At 38.4% G+C, this 13,159-nt stretch overlaps 2 protein-coding genes across 8 annotated transcripts in view; both read right to left on the bottom strand.

Annotated features, from left to right (window-relative positions):
- Positions 1-13,159, bottom strand: part of GET1-SH3BGR (GET1-SH3BGR readthrough) — a 135,179-nt gene that overhangs the window by 27,273 nt on the left and 94,747 nt on the right. For all 3 annotated transcript variants that reach the window (NR_146618.2, NM_001317744.2, NM_001350300.2), the window contains one exon: positions 13,017-13,097. Coding sequence is in view for 2 of the 3 variants with exons in the window: in NM_001317744.2 (NP_001304673.1) it covers positions 13,017-13,097 (81 nt within the window). In the remaining variant the exon portion in view is untranslated. The remainder of the gene's footprint in view (positions 1-13,016; positions 13,098-13,159) is intronic.
- Positions 1-13,159, bottom strand: part of SH3BGR (SH3 domain binding glutamate rich protein) — a 69,642-nt gene that overhangs the window by 27,275 nt on the left and 29,208 nt on the right. For all 5 annotated transcript variants that reach the window (NM_001317742.1, NM_001001713.1, NM_001317741.1 and 2 more), the window contains exon 3: positions 13,017-13,097. In NM_001317742.1, the coding sequence (NP_001304671.1) occupies positions 13,017-13,097 (81 nt within the window). The remainder of the gene's footprint in view (positions 1-13,016; positions 13,098-13,159) is intronic.

Raw genomic sequence — 13,159 nt, 5'->3', positions numbered from 1 at the left:
AGAAACTTTGGAGTACAGGTTTCTGATGGTATTGCTTAAAGAACTGAGGCCATACCAGTGGGCTTAGTCAAAATTTCCAGAACTTTAGTTGAGAAGCAGATGGCTTCCTGAGACTACTAGCCCAAGATCCAGTGGAATGAGGATTCATTACACAGGACTAAATGAATTGGTGAGATATCATACCCTTTCCTGCAGTAAGGACCCATCTTGTAGTTTCAAATTAGAAAATTCCAGAACATCTTTTGAATGAATTTTGTGCTCCAAATTCATATCTTTTATGCTTCTCAACAAATGTTCCTCCAAAGCTCCTTCTGCTTCTTCCTTTTGTACTCCTTCAAGTGAAGTCGCCTGTCCTCTGTCCAGTTTGGCCTTCCTCCTTCAGGTCACCAGGAAATGCCACACTTACTTAAATATTTTGCCATTACTCAAAAATGCTTTCAATAGGCACTCGCTAGTGATACCGGAAAATGAATCTCAAAACTTTTCATCACAAGTCACTTTTGGCCAAAAGTTACATGATCCAGATATATTATCCCTGCCTTATTCATTAGACTGAAATGTGTTCTACAAGAAAATCCATCTTCCAATAGAAGATGTTACTATGACTCTAATAGAGGGATTTGAAACCTCTTTTGAGCAATGTTTGTCTGGCTGTTGGAATGTTAGAACTTCCTAATGTGGTTCCCATGAGAAGGACAGCCCTCGCTGGGATGTATAAGCTTTGGCACTGAGGAGTTACACACCAACAGCAATCTGTAAAGGTAACACTTTAACACTGCTATGACAGCTAGGCATGATGGCTCACACCTGTATATAATCCCAGCACTTTGGGAGGCTGGGGTGGGAGGATCACTTGAGCCCAGGAGTTCAAGTCCAGTGTGGGCAACATGGTGAAATTCTGTCTTTACAAAAAATACAAAAATTAGCCAGGCATGGTGGTGCATATCTGCGGTCCCAGTTACTAGGGAAGCTGTGGTGGGAGGATCGCTTGAGCCCAGAAGGTCGAGGCTGCAGTGAGCCGTGATCAGGCCACTGCACTCCAGCCTGGGAGACAGAGCAAGAACCTGCCTCAAAAAACAGAAACAAAAAAACATTGTTATGGCTGTGTATATCTCTGTCAATTAAGGGCAAATCTAATTGCCTAAATAACTGGATGTCTTTCATTGATATAATAATATTCCCCTGACTAAATTAATGTACTAAAAGACATTGATTGCTGGATGTGGTGGCTCACATCTGTAATCCTAGCACTTTGGAAAGCCAAGGCAGGCAGATTATCTGAGGTCAGGAGTTCAAGATCAGCCTGGCCAACATGCTGAAACCCCGTCTCTACTAAGAAAATACAAAAATTAGCTGGACGTGGTGGCACACACCTGTAATCCCAGCTACTTGGGAGGCTGACGCAGGAAAGTGCTTGAACTTGGGAGGCGGAAGTTGCAGTGAGCCAAGATTGTGCTACTGCACTCCAGCCTGGGTGACAGAGACTCCATCTCAAAAAATAAAAAATAAAAATAAAAAGACATTGATTATATTGTTGTTTTGCCTGGTATCAGACAACAGGTGCTTAAGTTATCAACCATAACTTCAGTTGTTTTAAATGTTAACTTGATCCTTCTTTAATCTGAATCTAGCATGTTTTACAACAGTGTTTTTCGATTGGGAATTCCCATCATATACTCATACAGTTTTATTAATAAATAGATGTTTAGGACCTACTCCAGACCTACTACATCTTGTTTCTTGATATTCTTATCATATGCTTGGTATAGTCAGAGTATATTATGTCTCTGAATAATTACATCAAGATTTTTGCTATGCCCACTTATTGTTGTAAATTAGATATAATGTTTTCTGTATTCTTTGAAATAGGCCTAATGATTATGTTTATAAGTAATTTGTCTAAAATTTGGGGGGTTGATTTTATAGTTTCGTTTTGCATGTCACAGAAAACAACAAATTTTCTCATCAAATATATTATTCTTGTTATGACTTTCTAGACTTTCACTTTTGAAAATTATAAGCAATGAATAAATGGCACCCATTTTAAGTTTTTTGTCATCTACAGATATTTTTGTTAGCATGTTTTGCTTTGATGCTTCCCTGAAGTTATTTGTAATGAGCTACAAGCAAAAATGCTTCATCTTTCATGAAGAATGACTGCTCAGAGCCCCACAGTAAAGGGTTATATGTTAAATACATTTGGGTTCAGGTTTCTGATGGCATTGCTTAAAGAACTTTGAGACCGGCCGGGCGTGGTGGCTCACGCCTGTAATCCCAGCACTTTGGGAGGCCGAGGCGGGCGGATCACGAGGTCAGGAGATCGAGACCATCCTGGCTAACACAGTGAAACCCCGTCTCTACTAAAAAACACAAAAAATTAGCCGGGCGTGGTGGCGGGCGCCTGTAGTCCCAGCTACGCAGGAGGCTGAGGCAGGAGAATGGCGTGAACCCTGGAGGTGGAGCTTGCAGTGAGCCGAGATCGCACCACTGCACTCCAGCCTGGGCGACAGAGCGAGACTCCGTCTCAAAAAAAAAAAAAAAAAAAGAAAACAACTTTGAGACCATATCCGTGGACTTAGTCAAATTTTCCAGAACTTTTGTTGAGAAGCAGATGGGTTCATTAGACGACTAACCCAAGATCCACAAGATCCAGTGGAATAGGAATTAATTACATAGGATTAAATGAATTGGTGAGGGATGATAGTAATTTTTGTCTGGAATACTGTTGATGTTATTTTAATGTCTTATTTTCCTTATATATAAGGAAGCCCTTTTTGCTTTCTCTTAAGCTTTCCATACATCATAATAATGTTGTAGATTCTGCTTTTGTAAGCTGAAATGAATCACTTGTAAATGACCTCTTATTCTCCCTGCCCGATTCCTCTGGAGTTCAAAAATTCTTATTGAATCTGCTTATTCAATCAGAATACATATATATTTTTTGGCAATATACTTATTTGCATAACTTCAACAAGAATCTGTCTTCCTTCTTGCCAGGGCATAATTGAAAACATTGGTTATGTAACCTAGGTCCTGCCTGCCATGTCCTATTAAGAATGATGTTCATTTAATCAGATATGACCACATGCTTTTAAAGAACTAAGGTTGACTTTATGGAACCAATGCTTACTTACAAAGCCCTCTTGGGAAAACTGGTCTGGTCCTTGGCCTAGAACAGCCTGTCTAAGACAAGAAAAATGTTCTAAAAGCAATGATGCTGCATATGATGATACGTTTTATGAGCATGCATTTTCTACATAATTGTCAAGAGTACCTATTTTTAGCTTGAGTGAGATTAATTTTCCTTGCTGACACCTTTCCACAATCTTGTTTACTACAACATGACACCGTGATAAGTAATGTTTCCATAAATCAGATGTCGTCTTTTCAAAGGATACTGGAAGTACTCTGTCCCTGCGCACAGTATAAACACCTATCAACCTAAGCAATGCTGACAGCACCAAAGGCTCTAGCACGAACTGTACTGCTAATTAGCGGGGTTCTTTGTACAAGTCACTTAAGCTCCTTGGGCTTCATGTTGCTTCTCTCAGAAGAGAAGAATCTGGACTGGACGGCCTCTTAGGTATCTCTAGGCCAGGTTTCATAATCCTGTGGCCATCCCTTTCTTCCACAAAACAAGAGTTTTATATAATATGACAGTACCTGAGCACAAATCAGGGTAGGATCTAAAAACGGAGATTAGATATTAAAATAAAAATGAGATAAGATAAAACACAGCAGAGGCTGAAATAGATTTATACGTATTAGTATAAATAGATCTCAAAATATAATTTTTTTTAAAATAGCAAGTTACAATAAACAAACCTGTCCCATTTACATTCAATTTGAAGAATGGTGCTGAATATCTCCGGAGTGTTTCATTGACTTTGGTACCCCAGTTAATTATTGCCTCGAATTTCAGAGGTGAACACCTACTACGAGTTATGAGCTGTATTTGGCTCTGAGGATGTAAATATGAAAGATATAGTCCCAGATTCTGCATCTTATCTCTAACAATCTTCTGTGTTGCTGTCTGAGTCAGAGGCTTTGTGAAATGTAAATCACTCCACACTGACCTTTTCCCATCATTCTCATTGCCAAGAAAAAAGTCCAGACACAGAAGGCCCTTTACAATATCATCCCTACTAACTTTTCTTGCCTCAGCTCTTATCTTTACCCACTTCCATATCCTGGGTTCTACTGAAACCTCTGATTCCATCCAAAGTATGACTTCACTGAATGAAACATACTCTCATAAATTTCATTGCCTTAGTGTATAAATCCATCTTCCCATAGTGTCTTGACTATCTTTTTCCACTTACTGAGCTCCTACTAAATCTTCCAATACCAAGTGAGGTATCAACTCTTTTCGGAGACTTAATATAAGGCCTGAGATTGGTGGACCATCTCCATATTCACATAGACAGTTATTTTATCTACTTACAGAATGCTCACATCTAACTATTCCTCTAGACCATAAAGTCCCTTCAATCAACCAGCCCAGTGTCTGGCCCAGCATGTACGCAAATAAATTCTCTTGAAAGAATAAATTATAAAACAAATACCCCTAAGAGGTAGGTGGTCATATTTCTCTCTTCATTTTATAGCTGGGAAAACGTTAAAAATCTTGCCCCCAAATTCAGGGTCAGCAGGTAAAAAGTATGTAAGGTTTTCTAACTGAATCATATGTTCTTTTCCACTGGAGTTCCTCTTCATTTCATGCTGAATGAGACAGATTATGGATGGAAAGAAATACCAGGACTACAAAAGCCTCGATGAGAAGAGAGGTGAACTCTGAGACTTCTCAGGAGAAATGCAAGAGAAGGGGTCTAGGAAGTGGGATGTCCCTAGACATGAATGGCAAGTCATTATCTCAGAGAAAGAAAAATGGCAATATCTATGTTGATCAACTTCCAACCATTTATTTTATTTTATTTTTGTTGCTGAAAATATGAGATTGATCCTGGACACTCTGCACACTGGAAAATAAGTTCATCTGCTCTAACTTTTCCACATAATTTTCTAAAGTCTGTTTTTTTCCCTGTAAAACTTAAAGCAGCTTTAGACATAGTAACTTTGGACACGGCCATTTGCCATTTGTGTGTCTTTCTGCCTTGAAACAAGTTTTATTTGAGTTGTGTTCTTCTCCATTTAGAGCAATCCTCCTCAAGTTTTGACTAGGACATTTTAAGGGCTTTTAACTAATAAGAGCAAAGGCAATACAACATTGCCATATGCTTAGCTCCAAATCCTTATTGCTCCAGGCCAGGCGCAGTGGCTCATGCCTGTAATCCAGCACTTTGGGAGGCCAAGGTGGGAAGATTACCTAAGGTCAGGAGTTCGAGACCAGCCTGGCCAACATGGTGAAACCTCGTCTCTACTAAAAATACAAAAATTAGCTGGGCGTGGTGGCGGGCACGGGTAACCCCAGCTACTCTGGAGGCTGAGGCACAAGAATTGCTTGAACCCAGGAGGCAGAGGTCGCAGTGAGCTGAGACTGCGCAACCGCATTCCAGCCTGGGTGACAGAGCGAGACTCTGTCTCAAAAAAAAAAGCATTGCTCCAGCTCTTCATTATGAAAATTTTAAAGACAAAGAAAAGCTTTTAAAGATGAACTACATAGATTGAACACTTGCTAACATTTTCATCTGTCTTATCAAACTGCACCCTTAAATATTCTAGTATCATCTTCTAAAAACAAGGGCATTCTCTTACGTAACTCCAGTATTTTTATCACATCTAAGAAAACTAACAAGAACTCCCTAATGTCATCTAATATCCAATTCCTTTCCAAATTCCCCAAGTTGCCTGCAATAAATATTTTACAGTTACTTTCTTTAGACTTGAACCTCTTAAAACATATTAATTGCATCTGATTCTCATATTTCCTCAGTCTATTTTAGTCTAGAACAATTCCATCTCTTTTTATTTATTTCTTTCATGACACTGAATGTTTTAAGAATCTGGGTCAGTTATCTTGAAGAATGTTCCAAATTTTTGTTTTGTCTGATTCTTTCTTTGTGATATTATTTAACTTGCTCCTCTTCCTCTGTGTTTTTTATAGACTAGAACTTGGAGCTGGAGACTGGATTGGATGCAGGTGAAATGATTTAGCAAGAACACTTGACTGGTGAGACTATGGACTTCACGTTTGCAACAGGCAGCATTTGATATCAGTGAGTCCCATTAGTAGTGACAGTGGTTTGGCTACTTTGTTAAGGCTGTGACCAATAGATCTCTTTATTATAAAGATCGGTTTCCCCTTTGAATTTAGCAAATAATGTTTGGCGGGGCTAATACTTTAGCACAGGAAATTTAACTGATTCCCCCAAGAAACAAATTCACCTAATGCCTTTTACCCAGTTTTATTATCTATTCATTAGCTATGCTGTAATCAATTATTACATTGGCTTTGGCAAACGGGTTATTTTTCTAATTCTATCATTTATTCGATATTTGACCTACAACAAAAAGTTTACTCTCAACAACCAGGTATGAATTATAGATTCTAGTTTAAAAGGCAGAAAAAAAATGTTTGGATCTTCTCTTTTAATTATTAATTTTAGAGTAAAATATTGGGGTGATAGTTATCTATATATGTGACAAATGAGTTTTTTAATTTTAATAGACTTAAGCGTAGATAGGTTTTCTATAAATGTAGCCCTAAACACAAGGGAGTGAAGAGGATACTGGGTTAATAATCAGAAAATGTTGAAATCAAATTCTAGGTCTACAGATTATGAGCCTTGTGACCTGGAGCAATCTACTTGAACTTGTCAGCCTCATTATTCACTTATCCATATATTTTCTTTGACATCTATTAATGCTATTATATGAGTTACTTTTTTTAATGGCTGGAATTTCATTTGGAGCTTCGCAATATCTGTTAAGTTGCTAGCCCTCTAGGAGTTTGTTTGTTTTTGTTTGTTTTTGAGAACAGGGTCTCACTATGTTGCCCAGGCAGGTCACAAATGCCTGGGCTCAAACTATCCTCCTGCCTCTACCTTCCTAAGTGCTAGGATTACAGGCACGAACCACAATGCCTGGCTAAGAGTTTGTTCTTGTTGCGACTGCTACTACTATTGTTGTTTAAAAATATTAATAAAATGTCCATGGTGTCTTTTTAAAAAGCAGATTTCATACAATATAACAATTAGGCATTGAAAATACAGCACAAAAAGATGTCTTGCTTGTGGAAAGAGAGATACCAAATTGATGAATGCAGGAGAGAATCAGGAATGGGGAAAGGAACAAAGTGGCCTTACAATTTCCCTGCCTATTTGAGTTTCTTAACTAAAGCAAATAAGATACCACATTCATTCTGGAGAAGCATATACATGAATATTAGTTAAATGAGTCTCCAGTGTAGTGGTTGTTAAACAGAAATGAGCATCAGAATCAACTAAGGGACTTTTTGCAAATGTAGATCCCTGGGCCTCTCCCCTGGTAATTTAGGGTCAGTAAGTCTAGAGTAAAACTCAGGCATCTGAATTTTTTAAAATTGTCCAAGAGATTCTGATACAAAGCAGCAACTGTAGAAGTATTGGAAATCGATTAAACAAAAGATACACAAATGGTCATCGCAGCAGTATTCATGATAGCCAAAACGTGGAAACAACCCAAATACCCAGCCACTGAGGAATGGATGTGTAAAATGCAGTCCATCCATTCGTGCCATGGATAGTAGTCTGCCCTAACAAAGAAAGAAGTGCTGACACCTGCTACAACACAGACAAGCCTTGACAACATGATGCCAAGTGAAAGAAGCCAGTCACAAAGGACCCCATGGTGTATGGTTCCACTGGCATTAAATGCTCAGATGAGGCAAGCCTGCAGAGAACGAAAGCATTTGAGTGGTTCCCTAGGCAGGAAGAATGGCTGAATTAGGGGGTGACAGCTAAGGGGTACTGGGTTTCTTTTAAGGATGATTACAGTATTTTGGAAGTAGACAGTGGTGGTGGTTGCACAACTCTACATATACTAAAAGCCATTGAATTGTACACTTTAAATGGGTGAATTGTGTGGTGTGTGAATTATATCCCAATAAAACTATTTTTTTAAAAAGAGCAAAGATATTAAAATCCTTAATCTCAAATTATGTAACTAAAAATAGATTAAATTAAATTAACCAACATATGGAAAGAAATTAATGGAATAACAGGGGATGATAGTTCCTTTTCAGGAAGACTGGGACCATTGAAAACTACAGGCAGTTTCTAGTTAATCATGAGAAGCTGAAAACAGATATTTGCTTTGGCTTCTTACCAGAGCCCCACTGACAATACAACAAAGATGTTAAAAAGAAAAGGATAAATTCACAAGAACAGGGTAAATGGACAAGAAGTCTTTTTGCAGGAAAAAAAAAATGTCTACGGAAATTCAAAGGCAGTAAAGGGAATCGTTGAGTAATAATTGACTTAACCAGAAAAAATCTGAAACCTAATTGCTTACAAAGAGCGATGTGAGAGAAAGAAGAAGTAGATTTAGTTTCCCTCCTCATCCCTGGACGGCAAGTGACTGTCCCCTTCTAAATAAGCAGTTTTTGTCTCTGTAGAAGCTGAACTAGAGGAAATATGACCTCCTGGGCATGAGGCCAGCTGAAGTAGGCAACCATACTGAAAACAAGGGGTCTATATAAGAAGTTCACATTCTGAAAGGGGAGACCCTCCATTCCCTTCCCTACTTGCTTCTAGAACACTGGCAGCCAGATTTATCTCCCACTTTCCATCACCCCCACCTCCACTACCATCACCACCACCAACACCAACATCACCACCACTACCATCACCACCACCATCACCCACCTCACCACCACTACCACCATCACCACCATCACTGTCACCACCACCACCATCACCACCACCATCATCTCCACCATCACCACCACAATCACCACCTCTACCACTCCACCACCACCATCACCACCATGACCATTACCACTACCACCATCACTATCACCACCAGCACTACCATCACCACCACCACCACCACCACCACCACCACCACCCTTACCACCTCCACCACCACCACCACATAGCCTCGTTATGTTGCCAAGACTGGCCTCGAAACCCTAGGCACAAGCAATCCTCTCACCTCAGCCTTCCTAGTTGCTGGGAATACAGACATGCACCCACCACTGCCAGCTCAGTACTTTGTTTTAAATACAAACAGTCAAAGATCACCAAACATCTGAGGAAAACAACTTACATAAAAATAAAAAGGAAAGCAAAGCAAACAGAGAAGAAACAGAATTAGAGAAAACAGAGAATGCAATGAGTTGAAGAAGATGTAAAAGAAAACTATATTTAATAAACTCAGAATTAAGAAAAATAATGAACCTACATAATAAGAATAGGAAGCTATTTAATAAGGGAACATGCAGAGATAACAACAAAAAAGAGCTTTTGAGAAGTTCAGATATGATTGATAGGAGAAATGGAAAAAAACTACCAATAGAGGGAAGATAAGGTAGAAAATTAAGAAAATATCCCAGAAAGCAGAAAAATACAAAAATATGGAAAATGGGAGAGAAAAGATAAGAAAATTAGAGAATTCATCCAAGAGGTCCAACATTTAAATAAGAAGAATTCCAAAAAGAAAAGAAAGTGAAAATGAACTGGAAATGAATCCGCATAGAAGTCCTCTAACATTTTGTTTTTCAGAGCCAAGGCACATGACCTTCCAAATTAAAGGGTCCCAGCAAATGCCCAGCACAAATAACGAAGACCTCTACCAGCTACCTCATCGTACAACTTCAAAACCAAAAAATTGGACCCTAAAATCTCCCAGAATTGGGAAAGACAAAAATAGGCAGATAAAAAGATCTGGAGACAGACTGGCATCAGACGTGATCTCAGAGCAGCTCTGGAAGTGGGAAGAGATGATGGAGCGGCACCTTCCCGGTTCTGAGGTGCAGCAACGTCCAGCCTGGAATTCTGCACCTAAGCACACTGCAGACTAAAGCAGGAAAATATAAGGCATTTTCTGGCATGAAATGTTTAGCAGGACTGTTTTTTTAAAAAGTAATCTTTGTAGGACTATTTGACCTTTCCAATATCATATATGTAATATTTGAAAAAAGTTATTTTTTTAATATTCAGAAAACAATCTTTTATAGCAAAATAGTCTGTTAGGAGAAATAAGTTCAAGATATTGATTTTACAAGATAGTGACTATAGCAAATAACAATGCACTGTGTTTTGAACATCACTGAGAGTAGATTTTAAGTGTTCTCACCACAAAAAAAAAGTATTCAATGAAAGGCAGATGTTAATTAGCTCAGTTTAGCCAATCCACAATGTATACGTATTTCACAACATCACATTGTACATGGTAAATATACACTTTATTTGTCAACTTAAAAAATAAAATATCACACAAAAATGAAAAAATATACATTCAGTTACAAAGACACTTAAGACAGACATTTATCAAAACCAAATTCCCTCCTCATAGCACAGTAAAACCAGAAACAAATTTCTAAAATACAATTTAATGGTCCTAAGATCAAGGTCATTAAAATGCTCATATCTGGAAGGTACAGTGAAGCTGGTCCACCACAGTGCAGCAGGATGAATGTTATAATCCTCCCAGAAAGTAATCTGGAGGCACGTTCAAAGCCATAAAAAGTTGTGTGCATTTTTGTCTCACTGAAAGAGCTACCGGGAATTTATCCTAAGGAAATACTCCAAAATAAAGAATACTATTTCATGGTGAAAATCAGTGCAGAGTTATTTGTAATTAAAAATAATGAGCAACCCCAGGTTCAAAAATATAAGCATAGTGAAAAAATATTATGCTGGACACAGTGGCTCACACCTGTAGTCCTGGCTACTTGGAAAGCTGAGGCAGGAGGACAACTTGAGCCCAGAAGTTCAAAACTAGCCTGGGCAACATAGCAAGATCCTGTCTCTAAAAAATAAATAAATGAACAAAAATTTTTTTAAATGCATGGCACATCAACTTGATGGAACATTATACAAAATATTTAGATGACATTATGACACCATAATAGCATAAACATGTTTATGACACAATAATAAGTAAAAATTAAACATATAGGAATAAGGAAGTCAATTATGATACATCAGTGTAATAGAGTATCAGACAAAAGTTTTAAATGATCATCATGAAGGCTATAGCCACATGAAAAAATAAAAGATTCTAATGCTATAAAAAAAGGAATAAAAAATAAAAAGATATTGCAAAGGGAAGAAATAAGGAAGACATGATTCCTGGAATTTGTGATGAACAGACAGAAAATATATTTTTCTACTACCGTCTCCCCTTCTGTTTATTGGGACTCTTGGTGAAGACAGTAACTCTGTCAAAAATTTGACCTACAAAAGGTTAAAAAAAAGTCATTTCAAAGCTTTGCCACATTATTATTGACCAAGGATAGAAAATTCCCTTTTGTTTAGATAACCCCCTAGTGGGCCTTTGTAAAAACTAGACTCTCCCCTCCTACCACCCACAGGTCTGGGGTCTGGAAGAAGGGGATTGAGAAGTAGTAGGAATACGGGAGATGTCTACTGAAAGACAGAGAACTTGGGTTAAGACGAGAGATTGAGCTTGGGTAAAGAACAGAGATGGGGGAACTTTCCAGAACATAGGGAGGAGAGAGGAAGCTAGGGAACCGGCAGCAAGCAGGGACGCAAGGGACTCTGCCCAAATTTCCAGTGGTGGGAAGGAGTAGGGCATTTTTTAAAACAATGATGTCTGCCATTTTTCTCTTTCACTCTGTGGGAAAATTCCCCCAAAATAATTGTCTATGCATAGTCCCTCGTTCTCACTACCAGCCCTCCTTAGACCACTCTGTCTAGACCACATACATCTGCTTCCACCTCTCCTCAGAAACTACTTCTGTCATGGCCTCTAATGACCTCCATGTCATCAAAGCCAGTGGTCACTTTTATGGCCTCACCTGACTCAATCTCTCAGCCGCATTTGTCACAACTAACATCACCCTCTTCTGTAAAGAGCCAAGCTCCTCCTGGGCTTCCATGACGCCACACGCTCCTGGTCTCCTCCTGCCTTCCCTACTCTCCATCTTAGCCTCCTCAACTGGTTTCTCATCTTCCAGGCAACTTTAAACTTGAAGTCCCACCTCCACCCCCACTCTGGTCTCCATCCTGTCAACTCTCTCATTACTCTGTTTCATCCACTTTTCATGACTTCAGCTCCATCTACATGCGTTCGCAGCTTCCACGTGTGTGTCTCCAACCAGACTTTGCAGAGACACAGATCAGTATGCAATTGCCTACCTCACTTCTTCACTCAGCTGTCTCATTCAAACTTAACTTCCCCCCTCAATATGGTCCTCTCTCAGAGTGGATTTTTACACACACTGATTAGAAGTCATCATGGAATCCATCCCTATCCACATTCAATCCATCAGCAAGTCTTAGCAAGTCACATGAATTAAACATGCACACAAGTCAAATTCATGGTTCCTGCTTTATTAGCATAACTCTCTATTTAATTATACATAATCAAAGATGAGACGTCACTGGAAGAAAAAAATCTGATAAAACCTACCTTGTCGTTGAATCGAGATCTTACCTGTCCCATTTTTATGAGACCAAAATGTAGTTTGGTTCATTTAAATAGAAATAATGTAAGGGTATATATCATTATGAAATTAACTCATATAAAGCTATATGAGAAGTCAATTCAAAACAAAATAATTGTATAAACACAACCTAGGAGCTCAAATGTTTACATATTTAATGAATGCACTTAAGATTATTCAAAGTAATGATATTTCCTAACTTAGGTATTATAAAATTTATTGTAACAAGGTGAAAACACAGCATAAATATGAAAAGCATAATTTTGGAACTTTTTTTAGTAAAAACTGCATTCTCTCTATGCATAGGACTGCATCAGAATAAGAAGTGTACTAAAGTAATGTTAATTTAGAGATCATCATGTATTAAACAGTCTTGGATGCGGTGATTTCTACCTTCATTTAGTATTACCTGTTTTGAACCCCAATGGAGTTTGTTCAAACTTACCTTTGAGTCTGGAGGAGGAGCCAAACCAAGGAAGGAATAAATAATATTCTCTTCTTTTGCAGAGAAGAAAGAGTCAAAATCCTTGAAGCAAAGAAAAAGAAAGTTTAAAACTACTGCACACTTGTGAGCCAGTTTATTTACGG

The sequence above is a fragment of the Homo sapiens genome, chromosome 21, assembly GCF_000001405.40.
Source record: "Homo sapiens chromosome 21, GRCh38.p14 Primary Assembly".
Taxonomy (NCBI): domain Eukaryota; kingdom Metazoa; phylum Chordata; class Mammalia; order Primates; family Hominidae; genus Homo; species Homo sapiens.
Note: the sequence above shows the minus strand (reverse complement) of the source record. Positions and strands in the feature narration are given on the sequence as shown.